The 19,662-nt window shown below is 51.2% G+C and overlaps 1 protein-coding gene and 2 pseudogenes across 7 annotated transcripts, besides 4 other annotated features; all 3 read right to left on the bottom strand.

Moving 5' to 3' along the window:
- Nucleotides 1-1,736: 1,736 nt before the first annotated feature.
- On the bottom strand, nucleotides 1,737-15,974 carry TMEM222 (transmembrane protein 222). Of its 6 annotated transcripts, NR_037580.2 has the most exons (8): nucleotides 15,746-15,892; nucleotides 7,333-7,417; nucleotides 7,000-7,152; nucleotides 6,036-6,067; nucleotides 4,083-4,179; nucleotides 3,856-3,986; nucleotides 3,383-3,470; nucleotides 1,737-2,758 (listed from the first exon to the last, which is right to left on the bottom strand). NR_037580.2 is itself a non-coding variant. In NM_032125.3 (6 exons), exons 1-6 carry the CDS (start codon nucleotides 15,937-15,939, stop codon nucleotides 2,671-2,673), a joined length of 627 nt encoding a protein of 208 aa, NP_115501.2. In that variant the 5' UTR covers nucleotides 15,940-15,974; the 3' UTR covers nucleotides 1,737-2,670. The 6 variants fall into 6 exon arrangements, 2 of the variants coding, with proteins under 2 accessions (NP_115501.2, XP_047287731.1); NR_037576.2 differs by lacking the exon at nucleotides 3,383-3,470; NR_037577.2 differs by lacking the exon at nucleotides 7,000-7,152.
- On the bottom strand, nucleotides 11,612-14,263 carry ACTG1P20 (actin gamma 1 pseudogene 20; annotated as a pseudogene). The gene has a single exon (NR_033926.1). The product of NR_033926.1 is annotated as an actin gamma 1 pseudogene 20 (transcript).
- On the bottom strand, nucleotides 12,813-12,918 carry RNU6-48P (RNA, U6 small nuclear 48, pseudogene; annotated as a pseudogene).
- Nucleotides 14,919-15,465: an enhancer, noted in NCBI's record as "H3K27ac hESC enhancer chr1:27649163-27649709 (GRCh37/hg19 assembly coordinates)". NCBI's record gives its function as "activates a minimal SCP1, AML or CMV promoter by ChIP-STARR-seq in naive H9 embryonic stem cells {active_cell/tissue: H9 hESC(naive)}" and the evidence as "EXISTENCE:reporter gene assay evidence [ECO:0000049][PMID:30033119]".
- Nucleotides 15,466-16,013: an enhancer, noted in NCBI's record as "H3K27ac hESC enhancer chr1:27648615-27649162 (GRCh37/hg19 assembly coordinates)". NCBI's record gives its function as "activates a minimal SCP1, AML or CMV promoter by ChIP-STARR-seq in naive H9 embryonic stem cells {active_cell/tissue: H9 hESC(naive)}" and the evidence as "EXISTENCE:reporter gene assay evidence [ECO:0000049][PMID:30033119]".
- Nucleotides 15,617-15,966: an enhancer, noted in NCBI's record as "active region_542". NCBI's record gives its function as "activates an Ori minimal core promoter by ATAC-STARR-seq in GM12878 lymphoblastoid cells {active_cell/tissue: GM12878}" and the evidence as "EXISTENCE:reporter gene assay evidence [ECO:0000049][PMID:35858748]".
- Nucleotides 16,014-16,560: an enhancer, noted in NCBI's record as "H3K27ac-H3K4me1 hESC enhancer chr1:27648068-27648614 (GRCh37/hg19 assembly coordinates)". NCBI's record gives its function as "activates a minimal SCP1, AML or CMV promoter by ChIP-STARR-seq in naive H9 embryonic stem cells {active_cell/tissue: H9 hESC(naive)}" and the evidence as "EXISTENCE:reporter gene assay evidence [ECO:0000049][PMID:30033119]".

Raw genomic sequence — 19,662 nt, 5'->3', positions numbered from 1 at the left:
CTCAAGCTATCCTCCCATTTCAGTCTCTTGAGTAGTAGCTGGGGCTGCAGGTACGCACCATCATGCCCAGCTAATTTTATTTTTTAATTTTTTGTAGAGATGGGGTCTCACTTTGTTGCCGAGGCTGGTCTCAAACTCTTGGGCTCCCTCCCTCCTCCAGCCTTGGCCTCCCAAAGTGCTGGACACTGTGGCTGACCCTGTTGGTGACTTCTATGGCACAATTTTATGTCCTGTTTCCCCCAGGCAAATTTTAAATTCTGCTAGGCTAACGCAGGCCTTAAGCCTTTTTTCTATCTATTCTACTGTGGCTGTCTTTGGTTTATTTTTTAATTTTTATTTTTGAGACGGAGGCTTGCTCTGTCACCCAGGCTGGAGTGCAGTGGCGCGATCTCGGCTCACTGCAAGCTCCGCCTCCCGGGTTCATGCCACTCTCCTGCCTCAGCCTCCCAAGTAGCTGGGACTACAGGTGCACGCCACCATGCCCGGCTAAGTGCTTGTATTTTTATTAGAGACGGGGTTTCACCGTGTTAGCCAGGATGGTCTCGCTCTCCTGACCTCGTGATCCGCCTGCCTCAGCCTCCCAAAGTGCTGGGATTACAGGCGTGAGCCACCGCAACCGGCCTGTCTTCAGTATTGAATTTGTCCCCCCTCAACCAACTCTCGGATGGACCCAATATGCAAAACAGGTTTTTGAAAATGGAATTGCTGGGGCCAGGCGTAATGGCTTATGCCTGTAATCCCAGCACTTTGGGAGGCTGAGGCGGGTGGGTCACCTGAGGAGTTCGAGATCAGCCTGGCCAACATGGTAAAACCCCGTCTCTCCTAAAAATACAAATATTAGCCCAGCGTGGTGGCGGGCACCTGTAATCCCAGCTATTTGGGAGGCCGAGGCACGAGAATTACTTGAACTCAGGAGGCAGGCGTTATAGTGAGCTGAGATCGTGCCATTGCACTCCAGCTTGGGCAACGGAGTGATTCTGTCTCCAAAAAATAAATAAATAAGAAAGAAAGAAAAAAAAGAAAAGTAAATGGAACTGCTCTGAAGTGGGGAGAGGTCACCTCTGCCTTGCCCTGGAGAAGTCCCAGGCTTGCAGACCACAGCACTGCAGGGTCTGGGGTGAGCTGGCAGATGCCTGACCAGGGACCCCATGGCCAGCTGCTAGAGCATGTCCTCAAGGCCACGTTCAAGACCAAATCCTTGGCTAGTTCAACTGAAGTGATGCATGGACAGGGTTGGGAAAGGCTTCAGGGAGGAAGCGGCTTTTAAGCTGGGCCTTGGTTAGGCAGGGCCGCCATGAGAGGGATGGTGGAGAGCAAAGGATCGGAGGCAAGCGAAGGCTGGATGGATACAGTGACCAGAGGCTGGCAGTGCTCTTGGCTCATCCCCAACTCTGTACCCCGGCGGGTGGTGGGGACAGCAGTGGAGGCTCTACTCAGCCCTAACCCCAAGCCTACAAGTCCTTCCCAACAGGGACGATGGAAGGGGTTTCAATGCCCACCTGCCTCAAGAGGAAAGCTTTGGAATGGGGAATGGAGAATGGCAGGGAATCCCCAGACTTCAGGGGCGGGATATACCTGAGGGATGCTGATGGCCCCAGGCACTGGACGCAGACTCAACCATGGTGCTGGCAACTAGACCCTTGTCAAGGGTAATAGGGTCCCAAGAATACCAAGACGCTATGAGCTAAGGGGCAAGGGGGCCCCAGAGAGGGAGAAAACAATGACAGGGCACCAACTGGAGTCAAAACTCTTTATTGTCCTGCCCAGGGAGCCCTTCCCAAAGGAATCCACAGAGCAGGGGGGCGAGGCGGGCGGCACAGGGCCTTGGTGACAACGTGAAGGGGGAGCTGGAGTTAGGTGGGGGACAGCCCCTTCAGCTCCCTGATGGCACTGGCTGTGCTGGCAGGCCACCCAGGGGAGCCATCACCAGCATGAGGTCCACACCTGGGGCTGGGGCTGAGTGCTGTCTACACTGCTCTGTCTACACGGTTACTCTGGCACTTGTCAGGTCCACTCACCTCTCTGGCCTCAAACTGCAGGGGGAGATGGGTCCAATGCTGGGAGGCACTGGGAGGCCGTGGAACAGTGAAGAGCGGACTGCACGGGCTGGAGGATGCCAGATGGGCACACATGTCCCCCAGGGCAGCTGCCGGCAGGAGTCTGACAAAGGGACCCAGCCAGCCCCTCTGGACCATTCTAGAGGCCAGTGGTGAAGGTCCTGAAGCAACTTGGCTTATAGAGACACGTTAAGTGTACCCGGTGCACCCCATGCTGGGACCAGCTCTGGTCCCAGGGCCACCTTGACAGGTGAGCCCAAATGTCCTCCTCTCCCCATACTGGGCACTGGGCTGAGGCAGGACCCCAGCAGGTGGTGGCGGGAGCAGCTCTACAGCGGGAAGCCAAAGCCTTTCAACAGAAGAACAAAGGGGCTTCCAGGGCCGGAGTCACAGGCCTGGGGAGGAGGGGACAGGGTGCTTCTGAGAGGCAGGGAGACAACAAACCCCCACTTCATGCTGGTCCTCAGTCCTTCCATCCTGCCAGCCCCGACCCCCGGTCCACAACAGCAGGCCCAACCCTGCCTTTTGGGGTGAGGAGAAAAAAATCTGGAACCAAAAGGGATGGCGGCTGTTTCCTCGGGACCCTGGTGGGTGTGGGGCCACCGAGCAGCCATCACCGGAGGTTAAAGACCAGGCTGACGGTGAGGATGATGCCCAGGAGAAGGATGAAGGGCAGCCAGGTCTTCACGAAGGCCCCAACGCTGACAGAGAGAAAGGAGCGAGCATAGGTGGGCAGGGCCTGGTGAGCAGGCATGCGGCCCGCAGCCCTGAGCACCCACAGACCCCAATAGGGCTGCCATCCCTAAGGAAAACCCAACCACCCCCTCACCCCAAACTTGGCCAATCAAGGAAGCAGGCTGGGCATGGTTGCCCACTATGGGGGATCACCAGCTATGGTCCCGGGCAGGGGCTGCTCCGCGCTCCTGGTGATTTACTGACACCTCGCTGGTTGGGAACAGGAAACATGCTCCCCATTTCTAGGCCTCACTGGCTCCATCTATAGCCACCTACCTCTAGGGTCTCCAGCAAGAGGACCAGGAATTGCAGTTTGGGTATGGAAGCCACGTGTGCCCTCTGCCTATGGACTTCATAATGGGGACTACTGGGAGCTCTGGGGCTGGCAAGGGTCAGCAGTGTTGTGGCTGGAGCCAAGCAGCTGGGAGCCAGGGGTCTGGGTTCAACCTCTGTGTGACCAGTTATTCTCAGGGGACTTCTAAAAGCCATGCAGTACTTAAAAATATCCCTAAAAGTCTTCTTTTCAGAACCTCTTAATGATGAACGTGGCTAAGAGGAAAGCTTGGAGAGGCGGCCAGATCAGCACTAACCTATGCTGGCTCACGAGTCTGGGCTCTGCTGTGTCCATGCTGTGGCGACCATGGGCGACTCACTCAATCTCTCTGCCTAGGAAGGGACCTGTGGGGCAGTCATTATGAGAGGATCTATCTGCTCACTTTACCGGAGCACAGGGATCCGTAGAAGCCTCCCTGAGGAGCCGGAATCATTGCCTGCATTTCACCAGAGACAGCTGTGGCTAAGAGAGACCAAGGCAGTTGCCCATGGTCTCACAGCAGGCAAGAGCCAGAGCTGCATTTGGGGCCCAGGTGGAGCTGGACTTCAGCACAGCCACCTCCCTCTCCATCAGGCCCTCAGCTCGTCACTCTAGAACCACCACGGCTCCAACTGGCATCTGTTCCAACTGTCCTGGCTGACTGAAGGACGCTAGGAATGGTCTTTCTAGGATCCTTGGGAGAGCAGCCTCTGGGCAGTGTGTGGGTGGGCAGGCAGGAGGGCAGCTCACCTGACGTACTTCCCGTAGAGCAGGCAGAAGAAGCAGAGCGTCACCATATTCCAGTTGGTGCTGTTGTTGTAGCGCATCAGATTCAGGGCCAATGCCACGTGCGAGTGGCAGTTGTCACAGCAGAGATTGTGCTGGAGGCACCAGAAGGGCTGGTCAGGATGGGCTGCAGGGGAGCCTCCCCCCTGGTCCCCACCTGGGGAGTGCCGGTGCCGCCCTGGCCCACCTACCATGCGGTGCTTGTACTCCTCAGAGGCGTCGTGCACAGCCGTGTCCCATGCGTTGGGCCCGCTAGCATAGACCTGAGCAGGGTCCAACTTCCAGTACCTGGGGGGAGAGAAGGGCTCTGGACACTTGCTTGGCTCCTTTGTGCCCTCAGCTCTACGCACGTCCTCTGAGGCCTGCCCTGTGCCCGGGCCTGAGCTGGGTGCTGAGATGTACAGTAAGCCAGATCTGGGGCAAGTGTTATGTGGCAGTCAACTGTGACACAGGGTGAGGTGGCTGGTGCCATGGGGGATCCTGGGGGGATATGGAATGAAATTGGGGGTGCTATGCTCTGAAAGTCTGTGTCCCCAAGTTCATATGTTGAAATCTTAACCCTCAAGGTGATGGTATGAGGAGGTGGGGCCTTTGGGAGGTGATTAGGCCATGGGGTGATTAGCTCTCATGAATGGGATCCGTGTCCTTATAAAAGAGCCCTGAGGGAGACCCCTCACCCCTCCACCACGTGGGGACACAGTGGAAAGGCACCTCAGGCCCTCACCAGACACTGACTCTACCAGCACCCGCACCCAGGACTGTCCAGTCTTCGGAACTGTGAGAAATACATTTCTGTTGTTTCTAAGATACCCAATTGATGAGATTTTGTTATGGCAGCCAGAACGGACTAAGATGGGGTGTGAGAAGGCTTCCTGGAGGTGACACCTGGGTCCAGTATGAAGGAAGAGGGTTAGGCAGGCATAGAAAGAAGAGGTGGGCATTCCAGGCTGAGGGAACAGCTTAAGCTAAGTGACAGGCATAAAACTGTGCAGCATGTCCCATAACTGAAGTGACTGAGCCCTCCTGGAGGATGCAGAAAGAGAAACACGGTGATGGAATGCTGGCAGCTAAGGCTGGAGATGCAGGTGAGGCCACATCACGCGGGGAGTTTACCCAGCAGCAAGCACTCTCCCCTAGTCTCCCAGGCAGCTTGCCAGGGTGAGTGGCAGGGAAGCTGATGGTGCTAAAGCCCATAAACCTCAAGGTGGGTGAGAATTGCTGTTCCAAGCACCAGAGTGCCCGGTGGGTCTCAGGCCAAGGAGAGCTGGGAGGTCAGGGCGCCCCCTGGCTGTTGTGTAGGGGAATGGCTTGGTGGAGGAGTCTAGAGACCATGGCCTGGACTGGGGCCGCTTAGGGGCTACTGCTTGGAAAATGATGCCCTTAAAACTGTCCTTGAAGAGCAGTCTGGCAGCGAACACCTGGTGGCCCAGAGACTCCTGGACTACACTGCTGCCTGCCGGAGGAAGCCAGAGAGGGCAGCAGGAAGCCCTGCTCCAGGCCATCTCAGCTGTGTGGGACACCAACTCCTCCTCGGCCCAGTCTCTCCTCCCAGTGCAGCCTTGGGCAACAGGTCACCTGAGGACACTGATGACTGAGGCACTCTCACCAGGCCCACAGCTGAGGTGGGCACCCGAGACTGCAAAGATGAAGACCAAATGTCCCAAACCAAACCAGCAATAGCTCCCAGAAGGTTGAACGGTTTTTATTCTCTCCAACCAGAACTTTCCAGCAGAGCTCCAAACAATGCCTCTCTTCTACCTTCCATGCCTCATTTGTTCCCAAAGGGCAGGAGAGTGAGTCTAGAGGGAGACAGATCTGGGTGTGGGTCCCAGCTCTGCCACTTCCTGTGTGACCTTGACCAAGTCCCTTCCCTTTCCTCACCCTTGCCATGGAGTTGAAAATACAAACCTGAAGAGCTGTGGCAAGGCCCAGATGGTCTACAGGTAAAGGCCCTAGCCAGGGGCTGGTGCGGTACACACTCTGTATGGGGTTGCCATGCTCTGGTGGACCCTGGCTGACCTCTCCCCCGACCCCAAATACTCTATTCTCAGGGTGCTGGCCCCTCCTGTGCCCCAGAAGGCCTGGCCCGCCCCGGCAGGAGCGACCTGCCTCTAGAGCCAGTCACATGGGTGTTCATCACTTACTTGGCAGGCTTTCCAAAGGCCATGTTGTCCTCCTGTTGAGGGACAAAAGCAGAGGTCAGTGAGGAACTTACATTTGGGCCAGATGACAAACCTGGGTAGGTGGCAGAAGTGCAGTGACTTAGAAGAGGGTATGTCAGGGGTGGGGGGGCCAGAAGTGGGGCCTGGGCCCTGCCCTGGGGCTGGCATGGCATCTAAAGAGCTAGCAGCTGTTCTGCAGGAAGAAGGCAGTGTGGCACAAGTGCACAGAGCACTGCATCAGAGACCAAAGATCTGGGGCTCCAGCTGCCACTGTCCCTTGGTGTGGCACCCAGGAATTCTCTTGCCCTCTCTGGGCCTCATTTTCTCCAAGTTCTCTGGTCAGTCTTCTCTGATCTCTGAGGACCAGCAGGAGGTTTCCATCATGGTCTGGCCTCCTGACTCAACAGTGGTGGCCCACATGGAGACCATCTCCTCGCCCAGCAGTCTGACTGCATTCATAGCAGGGCGGGGGCGCTGGGCCCAGAGGGACTTCCTGTGAGGGAGACACTGCAGTGAAGTCCTAGACTCATCACATTATTCCTGGGGTACAGGACTTACACAGAGACAGACTCTGGGTTCAGATCAGGGAGACCCTGCTGACAGACCTGGTCAATGATTAATCACCATAAAAATATATGATAAAGTAATGGATGTGAAAGTATTTTTAAGTACAAAGTGACAGACCTTTGTCGTGTTAAGATGATCATGACAACTATTAATATAAACAGGTTGGTGCCACCACACCCCTTCAGTCCAGCCTCTGACACCTGGAGACAGGATGATGCATGCTCCTCTGCTGCTAGCCCACTGGACCAGTCTTGGTCACAGCCCCAGGGAACAGACCTGAGAACACAGCTGCTTCATTCTAAAGCCCCACCCCCTCTTCTCCATGGCCACACCCAGGGAACCGAATCAGCCTCCCGTGTCCCCCCACCTTGACTCCCACCTTCTGAAGGTCCAGAGATGTGGTTCCTGGATGGTCTGACTCTCCACTCTTGCCTCTAATCCCTACCCATGTCTCGGTACCCCAGGGGTGGGGGCAAAGGGCTGGGTCAGTTACTTAAGAATCCTTCTGGCCACACTGCCCTCCCGGCCTGTCCTGGAGGCAAGAGAAGGGGGAAAGGGGTCAAACACTGGTGAGGGGCAGAGGGCCAGGGCCAGGACTGCGGGTTATCTACGTTCTCCTGGGTCTGGGGAGACGAAGCCTGCCTGCAGGCAAGACAGGACAGCCTTCCACTTAAACCTTGGAACCCCCCGGGTGGGCAGAATGGGGACTCACTGAGACAAAGTAGGGGCCCGCGAAGTCCCGAATGACTCCTGTGGATGTGCAGATGCCCATGTGGCCGATGATGGGGAAAAACCACCTGTGAGGAAAAGGACGGGGAAGGGACAGAGCTTAGGGGATCTTTCAGCCAGTTAGACGGACGCTGGGGACCCTTCATACAGTACAGAAGCATGTGAATATTACGTTTCATTGACAGGTGGCCATTAGGGTGGTCCAGAAGGCTGGGGAAGCACAGACAAGGGTAACTGCAAACCGACAGCACAATGGGATACCTCAGCATCCCGCCAGGATGGCTGTAACTCAAACGACAGCAACACCAATGCAGGTGAGGGCAAGGGACAACCAGAGCTCTCATTCACTGCTGGTGGGAGGGATAAACTGTTTCTACCTTTTTTTTTTTTTCAAATGGAGTCTCGCTCTGTCGCCCAGGCTGGAGTGCAGTGGCACAATATTGGCTCACTGCAACCTCCGCCTCCCGAGTTCAAGCAATTCTCCTGCCTCAGCCTCCTGAGTAGCTGGGACTACAGGTGTGCACCACCACGCCTGGGTAATTTTTGTATTTTTAGTAGAGATGGGGTTTCACCATGTTGGCCAGGATGGTCTCGATCTCTTGACCTCGTGATCCACGTGCCTTGGCCTCCCAAAGTGCTGGGATTACAGGCATAAGCCACTGCACCCGGCCTACCATTTTGTTTTTGAGATGGAGTCTCGCTCTCTTGCCCTGGCTGAAGTGCGGTGGCACAATCTCAGCTCACTGCAACCTCCGCCTCCTGGGTTTAAGCAATTCTCCTGCCTCAGCCTCCCGAGTAGCTGGGACTACAGGAGTGCACCACCATGCCTGGCTAATTTTTGTATTTTTAGTAGACATGAGGTTTCATCACGTTGGCCAGGCTGGTCTCGAACTCCTGACCTCAAGTCATCTGCCTGCCTCGGCCTCCCAAAGTGCTGGAATTACAGGCGTGAGCCACCGTACCCGGCCTGTTTCTACCATTCTGGAAAACAGTTTGGCACTATACTAAATGCCTCAGCAGTTTCACTTTTGGAACCTTCTTTGCCCTCACCCCTGGGAAATAACATTTGCCAAAACTCATTGAACTGTACTCTTAAAATGTGTACATTTTATTATATGTAAACTATAATTCAATAAAATTGATAAAAACAACTAGAAAGAATCCAAATGTTCAACAACAGTACGATGAATAAGTGTGGTATAGTTATACATTGAAATAGTCCATAACAATGAAAAACAGTGTCACTTCTGCTACACACAACACAGGCTTTCACAGACATAAGGGTGAATGAAGGAAATCTTACACAGAGTACGTAACATAGCACTCTGTTTACGTGAAGTCCAAGAAAAGGCAAGACTGATCTATGGCTAGAGGTCCACAGCGGGGTGGAATCTGTGGTAGAACTGACTGGGAGGGCACAAGGGGGTCCTCTGGGTCTTAGCATTGCTTTCTAGCCCCCGTCTGGGTGGCGGTTACATGAGTGTGTGATATGCAAAAATTCTTCCTGCTGTATACTTGAGATTCGCACACCGTTTGGTACATAAGTTATACCTCAATAAGAAAGTTAAAAAAAAAAAAAAAGGTGGGCGGTCATGACACCAGTATGGGTGGGGGAGTTCAGGAAAGGCTTCCCTGAGGAAATAACAAAGAAACAGAATGTGCAAGGGTAGAAATTGGAACAGAAGCATGGTGTATGCCAGGAAATAAAAGTTCCTTTTTTATAAACCATGGGCATTAAAAAACAACAATAAATCTCAGATGCACCCCAATATGTCACACATAGGAACCCCAGACCTGTCTGTGTTCTGAGAACCATGGCCCTACAGGACCTGGGTGCTGGAGAGACTGATCCAGTTTAAGGAGAACTCACAGGGCCAGTGGCCGAGTCCTGGCCTCAATGCTGCCTGGGCACGAGCATAAAGCACCTGGCTAGGGGTGCAGGCCAAGCCTCCAGAGACGCAGTTTAAAAAAGCAGTTACAGGGGGCTGGGGTGGAGCCAGTAAAGACTTCACAGAGGAGGTGACTTTTAACCTTGACCTGTGAAAGGACACAACATCAACAGGCAGAAAACAACACTGCAGAGCAAGAAAGTGGTACATGTGCCTGGAAGAACGAAAGGGGGAGAGGCCAGCTCAGGGGCTACTGCTGTACCACTGGCAAGAGATGATGGAGGTCCTGACTAGAGGATCAGGGGCAGGGTGGTGAGAAACACATGGATTCAAAAGATCTTTCAAATGAAGACTGGAGAGTTTACGACTGACAGGATGGGGGTCTTCCAGGTCTACAGCTTGAGCGCTTGAGACAATGGTAGGGCCAGAGTGGTCTTTTGAGAATTGAACTCAGATTCCATCATTCCCCTGTTCAACACCTATTAATGGCTTCCTACTACACTTATAATACACTTCGAACTTCTTCCAACACTGTGGTGCTAATTATCCCTTGAACTTCATCTCAGTCCCCTCTCTAGCTACACTGCCTGCTTGTGGCCTCAAACACGCCAAATCCTCCCACCCCATGCTTTCTCTGTATCTGCCCTCTCCTCCGTCTGGAACACTCTTCCCAGAGAGCATGGCACAGCTGACTCCTCACTGATTAGGCCTCAGCCTCACTGTCACCTTCGGAGGTCTTGCCTGAACGGTGTCTTCCAGCACAGCCACCCAATCCCAGATCCCACTACAATGCTTTACTTCCCTCATAGTATCTACTACCATCCAAAATTATCTTGGTTATTTATATGCTGTCTCTCCACTAGAACATAAGCTCCAAGAGAGACAGGATTTTTTCTTGTTTACTACGGCAGTGCCTGTATATAGCTGCAACTCACTAAATATTTGTTGACTAAATAATGAATGAACATCCTGCATTTAAGAGTAGAGTCTGGGGCTGGGTGCTGTGGCTCACGCCTGTAATCATAGCACTTTGGAAGGCCAAGGCAGTTGGATTGCTTGAGCCCAGGAATTTGAGACCAGCCTGGGCAACACAGTGAGACCCTGTATCTAAAAAAATCTAAAAATTAGCTGGAGGATCACTTGATCCAAGGAAGTTGAGGCTGTAGTGAGCCAAGGCTGGGCCCAGGAAGTTGAGGCTGCAGTGAGTCAAGGCTGGGCTCAGTGGCTCACGCCTGTAATCCCAGCACTTTGGGAGGCAGAGGCCGGTGGATGACTTGAGGTCAGGAGTTCGAGACCAGCCTGGGAAACATGGCGAAACCCTGTCTATACTAAAAATACAAAAATTAGATGGGCATGGTGGCATGTGCCTGTAATCCCAGCTACTCGAGAGGCTGAGGCACGAGAATCACTTGAACCCCGGAGGCGGAGGATGCAGTGAGCTGAGATCACGCCACTGCATTCCAGCCTGGGTGACAGAGCAAGACTCTGTCTCTAAATAAATAAATAAATAAAAATTAAAAACAACAAACAAACGCCAACAGTGAAGTCATGCTCAGATATCATCTGGGTTGAGGCTTGCCTTTGTTCTGGGCAAGTTACTAATTCCCATCTCTCTGTGGATAGTAAAAATTACCTTAATGAGGAGCTATTGTGAGGATTAAATGGATAGACTTATCCATTTACACAGTGCCTAGGACTCTGCCTTCCGCTTGGCAGCTGCTCAATGTTGTCATCTCGAGGTGTTCAATACATAAGCACTATCTGACTGACTGCACTAACATAGAATAAGTTGCAGAAGATCCACAGGCCACAGGATGGACATTCAGGATTATGGGAAAGTAGCTCATCCTGATCTCAGGACTGCCCTCCACCCCCATCTCTGCCCCCTAATCCTTTCATCTGCTTGGGAGGAAGTCTGGGTCCAACCAGGATTCCACACGCCACAGCTGTGCTGGCAGCAGTGGATGGAAATCAGAGTAAAGGCTGGAAGCCCCAGAGAAGAAACCCTCAAAGTGGTTTGTCAGCCTGGAAGCTCCAGGAAGGCAGCTCCAGAGCCGCTTTGTGGACTACCTTCTATTCAGGACCTAGTACATAATAGGTGCTTTATAAAGATACAATAAATGAATAAATGACTCACTCATCCTGGAGCTCAATCTGGGAAGGTAGGCTAACTCAGCAAAAGAGCACCACACTGGCTTCTAAGCCTTACTTCCTCATCTATAAAATGGTGACAACAGTATCTACTTTCATAGGTTGACATTAGGATTGAGTGAGTGAACATACAATGTTTAGGACAGAGTAAGCATCTAATCTTAGCTGTTTTTATTAGTAGCAGCAGCTATTAAACTAGTTTCTTTTTTTTCCCTTTTTTTTGGTTACAGCAGCACTTTTATTTTTCCTTACACAATGACATGCCGCTGGGGCCTAATGTTCTCACATAACAGTAGAAAACCAAAATCTGTTCTCATCTCCTTAAAGAATCGAGAATTGCATACAAAAAAAAACCTTACATAAATTAAAAGGATGAATACATTTACAGGTGTAAATGCAAACTGCTTCCAACTCAAAGCAAGTCACAGCCCACAGTGTTCTGGCAGGAAAACATCAGCTAAGAAAGGAAACTGGGTCCTATGGCTTGGCCTTTCCAACCCTGACAGACCAGCAGGACAGAAACAACTGGTTCAGGAGCCCTTGTCAGCCTCTAGAGAAATCCCAGAACACTCAGCCATGACATATTAATACCCTGCAAAGATCGGAGACTGCTGGCCATGCAGACTCACCAAGTCGCACTTGTCTTCCACAAGCACATTCTTACCTTGCCACGCAGTGACCAAGCCACATGTACTAAGGGTTGAAAGCAAAGATATGTACAGGGTATTAAACAAATACCAAGGGGAACAGTTAACTTGAATACAAGGTCAAAATCAGCAACAAGTTCTACAATCCAGTGCTGATATTAGATACAAGCTTCAACGACAATTTCTTTTCGAAGGCTTATTCCATTTTCGTGAGGCTAGCATGAGGTATATGCATTTGCCAGGGCCAATTTATACTTCTGAATTAACCCATGCAGCAAATGCTACGCATCGGCTCGCAGTCCATTTAGAAGCATTTGCGGTGGACGATACAGGGGCCTGACTCGTCATACTCCTGCTTGCTAATCCACATCTGCTGGAAGGTGGACAGTGAGGCCAGGATGGAGCCGCTGATCCACACAGAGTACTTGCACTCTGGGGGCACAATGAGCTTGATCTTCATGGTGCTGGATGCCAGGGCGTTAATCTCCTTCTGCATCCTGTCGGTGATGCCCGGGTACATGGTGGTGCCTCTGGATAGCCCTATGTTGGTGTACAGGTCTTTGCGGATGTCTACGTCACACTTCATGATGGAGTTGAACGTGGTCTCGTGGATGCCGCAAGATTCCATACCCAGGAAGGAAGGCTGGAACAGCGCCTCCGGACACTGGAACCGCTTGTTGCTGATGGTGATGACCTGGCCATCCGGCAGCTTGTAGCTCTTCTCCAGGGAGGAGGATGTGGTAGTGGCCATCTCCTGCTCGAAGTCCAGGGAGACAAAAATATGGAACGCTTCACGAATCTGCATGTCATCCTTGCGCAGGGGCCATGCTAATCTTCTCTGTATCGTTCCAATTTTAGTATATGTGCTGCTGAGGCGAGCACTAAACTGGTTTTTCATGCAGAATTACCAACATCTCTGAGGGGGTAGACAGATCTTTGGGTTCCATTTCCTCCTCTGATCTCTCCTCCAAAGACAGGTGACAGTTACTTGCGCCACATCTATGCCTAGCTCTGCAATCATCACTATACAGTAATACTACGATGGCTAATTGACCTTTCTCTCCCTCCTGCTGGAGGTGAGTCCTTTGAAGGTGACATGGTTTGGATCTGTCCCCGCCAAATCTCCTGTCAAACTGTAGTCCCCATATTGGAGGTGGGGGCTGGTGGTGGGATCATGAGGCTGGTTTTCTCATAAATGGTTCAGCACCATCCCTTTGGTGCTGTTCTCGTGATAGTGAGTTTTCCCAAGATCTGGTTGTTTAAAAGTGTGTAGCATCTCCCCCCTCACTCCCTCTTGCTCCTAATCCCGCCATGTGAGATGCCTCCCTCCCCCTTTGCCTTACACCATAACTGGAAGCTTCCTGAGGTCTCCCCAGAAGCAGAAGCCACTATGCTTCCTGTATAGCCTGCAGAAGCATGGGTCAATTAAACCTCTTTTCTTTAGAAATTATCCAGTCTCAAGTATTAGTGCAAGAATGGACTAACACAGAAGGGAACATGAACCCTTTGACAGGAACACAGTGTCTTATTCATCTTGGTCTTATGAACACCTGTACACAGATCTGAATAGAAATGGGCTATGAGCTGCTTTTGGCCCAGGTGACAAGGGATTGTGGTGCCTCCACCTCACGCTGCTACCATTCTCCGCAGAGGACCACGCCACAGATGGTGTTTTTGAGAATAAGAAAGGCTAAAGAGAGTTTAGGATCACAAGACAGGTTTTAAGAAAACCAATACATTTCCTGAGTATCCCTCCCAGTTATTTTCTTTTTTTTTGAAACGGAGTTTTGCTCTTGTTGTCCAGGCTGGAGTGCAAAAGCACGATCTTGGCTCACCGCAACCTCCACCTCCCGGGTTCAAGTGATTCTCCTGCCTCGGCCTCCTGAGTAGCTGGGATTACAGGCATGTGCCACCACCCCGGCTAATTTTGTATTTTTAGTAGAGATGGGGTTTCTCCATGTTGGTCAGGCTTGTCTTGAACTCCTGACCTCAGGTGATTCGCCCGCCTGGGCCTCCCAAAGTGCTGGGATTACAGGCCTGAGCCACCACGCCCGGCCCCTGTTATTTTCACACTAATATTTTATTTTCTTCACAGCACTCATCACTATCAGGTGCTCTTTTATTAGCTTACTTGTTTACTGTCTATCTCCTTCCACTATGACTTAAACTCTCAAAAGTCTAAAGACCATATCTCCTTTATTCATCACTGTATATTCGCATCACCTAGAACTATCTGGGAACACAGGGGTCACTTAGCACATGTGTTAGAAGAACACTGAATGAATTAATGTGCACATTTTCCTAAGATTTTATTTCACTATTTATTTTGAGACGGAGTTTCACTGTGTTGCCCATGCTGAAGTGCAGTGGTGCAATCTCGGCTCACTGCAAACTCCACTTCCCGGGTTGAGGCGATTCTCCTGCCTCAGCTTCCAGAGTAGCTGGGATTACAGGCACGTGCCACTATGCCCAGCTAATTTTTGTATTTTTAGTAGAGACGGGTTTCGCCACGATGGCCAGGTTGGTCTCGAACTACCTACCGATCCACCCTCCACTGCCTCCCAGAGTGCTGGGATTACAGGCATGAGCCACCGCGCCTGTCCCAATATTTTATTTTTAAAGAACAGATTTGGATGCTCTTATATGCATAAGTACTTGAAAACACAAAATAATTCAAGTATTTTAACATAATTCAAAAACTACGATCTTTTTAGAATCAGCAACACCTAAGGCCCCAAATGATCCCTTCTCCACATCACCACTGGCTGTTATTGATAGCGGAACAAGCTATCCCATCAGGTGAGAGTGGATAAGATGTAGTGCAAAGAGCAAGTTAGATCAGAAGACTGAGCTCTTCATGCCTTTGCTTATTGGGGTGCGAACCTGATCAAGACACTTAATGCTACAAGCAGCTCAGCTTCACCATCTGAGAAGATAACCTACCTTAGAAAATGGATGTTTAATTCTGATAAAATGGGTGTTTAAGAGCTTGGCAAACTATCCAGCACGGTGAGGAGGGGTTACGTTTATCAGCTGTCAAGGTTGAAGCAGGAGGGCAAACCACCTCTCCCCATATGAGAGCTCCTCCCAAAAGGCGCCAAGTAGTACCAGAGCACCTGCTTCTCCCCTGACAAAGGCTGATGTTACAGAAAGAACTTTGGTCTGGGAGGCAGACAACCTGGGATCTAAACCCAGTTTGCAACTGAGATGGCACGTGAGACAAAGGGTTGGACTCTCAGATCTCTGGGGGCCCTTCCAATGTTGACATCCCAGGATCTCGTGTGGTCCCAACCAAACTCCCACTCTTGCTCCCAGACCCAGCAGTATGTCTGGAATATGGTAAGCGACCAGTAAGCATTTGCTCAATGAGAGAATAAACCAGTGAATTAATAAAAATGTCTCCTCAGATCCGATAAGGGGCTCCCTCTTCTACACACTCACAGCTCGAGTCTCCCAGCCACTTGCCCTTTCCTGCTGGCCTACAACTCTCTCCCTGGCTACACCAGGTGTATTGAGAGCAGGGAGCGTGTCCCAGCCGTGTGCACAAACTGGCACTACATGGATGGCGGGGTTCTGGTGACTGGGCGAGGCGTGCGGGCCAGACCCGAGGAAAAGGCTTGCTGCGCGTTGGGGCCGGAGGCTAGCCCGGCCCGACTCCGGCTCTCCCTGGGCCCTCCTCGTCCCCAGGCGGATGCCGGAAGAGACTCACGTGAGCACCGGGATGGGCGTCCACACCACGCAGTAGGGGAAGCGACTCCGTTCCACATCCATGGCGACGCCGCCGGAGCCTTGATATTGCTTCATGTCCGTCTCGGCCGCCGTCGGCGCCTCCACTTCCGCCATCCTGGGCGGGGGTGGCGGCGGCGGCAACAAGAGCAGAGAACTCCCTTCCGCTTCCGCCATGCGGCGCGCGCCCCGCTCCGACTGGCCCCGGCTCTGGTGCCGCTCGTCCCCATGGCGTCACTTCCCGGAGATGGGGTCCGCCCCGCTTGGCCTTCCCCCGGGAATCCGAGCCGCGTTCCTCTGGGCCCGGCCAGCCCCGCCCCACTCCCTATGCGCCTGCCAGCCCCGAGTCTTTGCCGCTTATGCCCCGCGGCTGCAGAAGGGATGCTCTCAGGCAGTTCGCAGTCTAGCGCCGGAGACTTATAGAGAACTCTAATTCAGTACGCTGAGGGCTCCTAGGAGGTGTGGTACAGTCGCTATTTATTGAGCACTTCTTAGGTGCCAAGCACTTGACATGAATTGTTTCTAATCCCCATAAACTAATTAGACATCCAAATTAGGTATTCCCTCCTGTTACAGGTGAGAAACTGAGGTTCAAAAGGTGAGAGACCACGATGCAAACCCAAGTCTTTTTTTTTTTTTTTTTTTCTGAGGCGGAATTTTTTCTCTTGTTGCCCAGGCTGGAGGGCAATGGCACAATCTCGGCTCACTGCAACCTCCACCTCCCAGGTTCAGGCGATCCTGCCTCGGCCTCCCGAGTAGCTGGGATAACAGGCGCGTGCCACCACGCCCGGCTAATTTTTGTATTTTTAGTAGAGGTGGCGTTTCACCATGTTAGCCAGGATGGTCTCAAACTCCTGACCCTGTGATCCGCCCGCCTTGGCCTCCCAAAGTGCTGGGATTACAGGCGTGAGCCACCGCGCCTGGCCCAAACCCAAGTCTTATACCTCCCTTGCCCTTTTCATTCTGTGGCCCTCTCACGAGGTAGTGGTAGCATAAAGGAAGACACACACAGTTGTGTGTGCGCACGTGTGTGTGTGTGTGTGTTTTATTGTATATACAGGGAAGACTTGCTGGAAGATAGGATATTATTGAGTTGAGTCTTGATGTTTGCCATGTGGCACAGGAGTGGAAGTATGAGTGCAGCGGTACAAAGAAAGGAAGGCCGTGCAGAGCAGTGTGTGCAAGAGTGTGAATACTTACTGGAGTAAATCATAAGCCTTAGATGTGATCCAATCCCTTCATTGTACAAATGGGAAAACGGGCTCAGGGAAGTTAATTGTTTGAGATCACACACAACCATAATTAGAGAGAAGCCAGGCTCAAATGTTGGAGACTTTTGGCTTTTTAAAGGATGTCAAGACAAAGAAAATGAAGTCTACTGGGGTCTACTGGGGTGGGGAGGGGAAGTTGGGGACAGCCCAAAGTCAGAAGGAAGGCTGCCACTAAAAATCAGCCTTAAAGAAAAAAAAAAAAGAATAAAAAGAGTAATCAGGTAAAGGAAGGTATGGACAAATGCACTCAGGAAGTTAGGAGCTTCCCATTTGGGGAAGGTCCTTCTTCCACTGAATTACCCTCCCTCAATGCTGATCTATGGAGAGCTTGCTGTCCTGTTTGTAGCACCTAATATTTTCATGTTTTTTTGTGGGGGATGTCTGTCTCTGCTATAGAACTCTAAGGTCCTTGACTTCAGTAGCTGGCACAGTTCCTGGTGCAAAGCATATGCCCACTAGATGTTTACTGATTTATTAGGTGATTGAATAAATGGATGTTTTATAAAGACCTCAGAGATTCGCAGGCATGATAATGATTACAGTGGGTTAGAAAATGATTCTAACCCACTCCAAATTCTTTGAGCACGTTTGTACCTCTCCTTGACCCCTGTGCAGTGTGTGATCCTTGAAGGGCAACAACCAGCATCCAGCACAGGGTTTGGAATAGATTAGGTGTGTAGTTTACAGTTGTTGAGAATAAATTACATGACTTCTTGATTCAATCACTGTAGTTATCTAATCTCTTCTGGACCACAGGCTGTGAGGAAGGTCTGTGCCTTAGACATCTCCCTACCATGACTGTCAGCCCATAATTCTAGCACAGGGTTGCTGGGTACCCTTTAAACATTTATTGTAGGTATTGATGAATAAACAACCAAAGTAAGTCTCTCAGGGCCTGCCACAAGTTTGGTAGTACTAATACACGTACCACATTTAATCTGCCAAACTTCAATGGCTTCCCGTTGCACTTCGTATGAAACACAAATATCTTACTATGGCTCACAAAGCCCTGCACCATCTGGACCCATGCCCCTTCCTTATTTACTATACTACAGCCATCCTGGCCTTTTCTTTCAGTTCCTCTCATGCACTCCTTCATATTCCAGGGACTTGGCACACACTGTTCCCCTCTGCCTGAAATACTACTCCTATCTACTTAAAGCGGCTAACTTTCATTCTTCCAGTCTCAGATCAAATATTACTTTCTCAGCCCATCCCTGGTCTCCCAATCTAAATGAGAAAGCCCCCATTAATCTCCTGTTCTTTTTCTTCATAGCTTCTTTGTAGCTATGTACTATTTGCCTCCCCCACTTGACTGGAAACTCTATTTGTCTTGCTAACGTGTGTATACCCAATGCCCAGTATAGTGCCTAGTGCATGGTATTTGTTTAATCAATATTTGTTAAATTGAATGAAAGGCAAATACTTACAGGCTTGGTATCACGTGCTGGTTACAGTCTAAACGCAGGAACCTGCTACCTCTTGGTGTCCCAAACCTTTTCAATGGGCTTGGGTTGGTGGGAACAGTGCTCAGGCAGAGGATCAGACCACAGAGCCCTGGCTCCTTTCCTAAGGTCCACGTCATCCTACCCTTGGCCTAGGCAGCTGCAGAAACGTGGCATGAGGAGGGCCGGGTACCTGGAGGTAGAAGCCAGATCCTCTGGTGCCTGTCCCACAGGCTTGCCCCGCACCACAACCCATCCACAAGATTTTTTTTTTTTTTTTTTTTTTTTTTTGAGACAGAGTCTCACTCTGTCACCAGGCTGGAGTGCAGTGGCACAATCTTGGTTCACTGCAACCTTTGCCTCCTGGGTTCAAGCAATTCTCCTGCCTCAGCCTCCCCGAGTAGCTGGGACTACAGGTGCGCAACACCACACCCAGCTAATTTTTGTATTTTTAGCAGAGATGGGGTTTCACCATGTTTGGCCAGGATGGTCTTGATCTTTTGACCTTGTGATCCACCTGCGTCAGCCTCCCAAAGTGCTGGGATTACAGGCATAAGCCACCGTGCCCGGCCTTTTTTTTTTTTTTTTTTTTTTAAATAATGGATTCATCCCTGCAGAACACTCCTTCTCACATATACACCTTGGTTCTCTCACCCAATTGTAAGAGTCTCTCTGGCCTGTGCCCTGGACTCCTCTGCTGTTGCTTCCTTATCACCCATAAACAGATGGGAAATCTCCATCAAAGACTAATATTTCCTTCCAGGCTCACAGGATCACAGCAGGGTCCTGGAGGAAGCTCCTGTTATGGCTGAGCTTGGGACAGGATTGATAGGTTTCAGAGCTATCCCTCCCCCAACACACACCCCAACCTAAAATAGGAATGACCATCTGGATCCACTTATGGGTTTGGCTGGGGGAGGGAAGGATGCCAGAGCTGAAACTGTCAAGCTGGGAAACCTTTGAGGGTAAGATGCTGCTTGTTTGAAGGGTGAGCTTGGGGCATTTCCTCTCTTGGTGGGAGTCAGCGCACCCCCTCAATTGGCCCCATGTATAAGTCCCCAGGACTCACAAATCTCCTCTTTCAGGATATCTCGCTCCTGGCATTCAAGGCCCCTCATGATGCCCTCAAATTTTCCTTCCAGCCTCATTTCTCACAGTCTCCTTCGGGACTTGCCTGGAGTTAG

This window comes from Homo sapiens, chromosome 1, assembly GCF_000001405.40.
Source record: "Homo sapiens chromosome 1, GRCh38.p14 Primary Assembly".
Taxonomy (NCBI): domain Eukaryota; kingdom Metazoa; phylum Chordata; class Mammalia; order Primates; family Hominidae; genus Homo; species Homo sapiens.
The sequence above is the reverse complement of the archived record's forward strand: the minus strand, read 5'-3'. Positions and strand labels throughout refer to the sequence as shown.

Excerpts from the sequence above, each read along its gene's own strand:
- TMEM222 (NM_032125.3), bottom strand. The coding sequence starts at position 15,939 with ATGGCGGAAGCGGAAGGGAGTTCTCTGCTCTTGTTGCCGCCGCCGCCA. Across the intron at positions 4,180-6,035 it reads GCCTTTGGAAAGCCTGCCAA|GTACTGGAAGTTGGACCCTG; the intron begins GTAAGTGATGAA and ends CTCTCCCCCCAG. Across the intron at positions 3,987-4,082 it reads AGGAGTACAAGCACCGCATG|CACAATCTCTGCTGTGACAA; the intron begins GTAGGTGGGCCA and ends TGGTGCCTCCAG.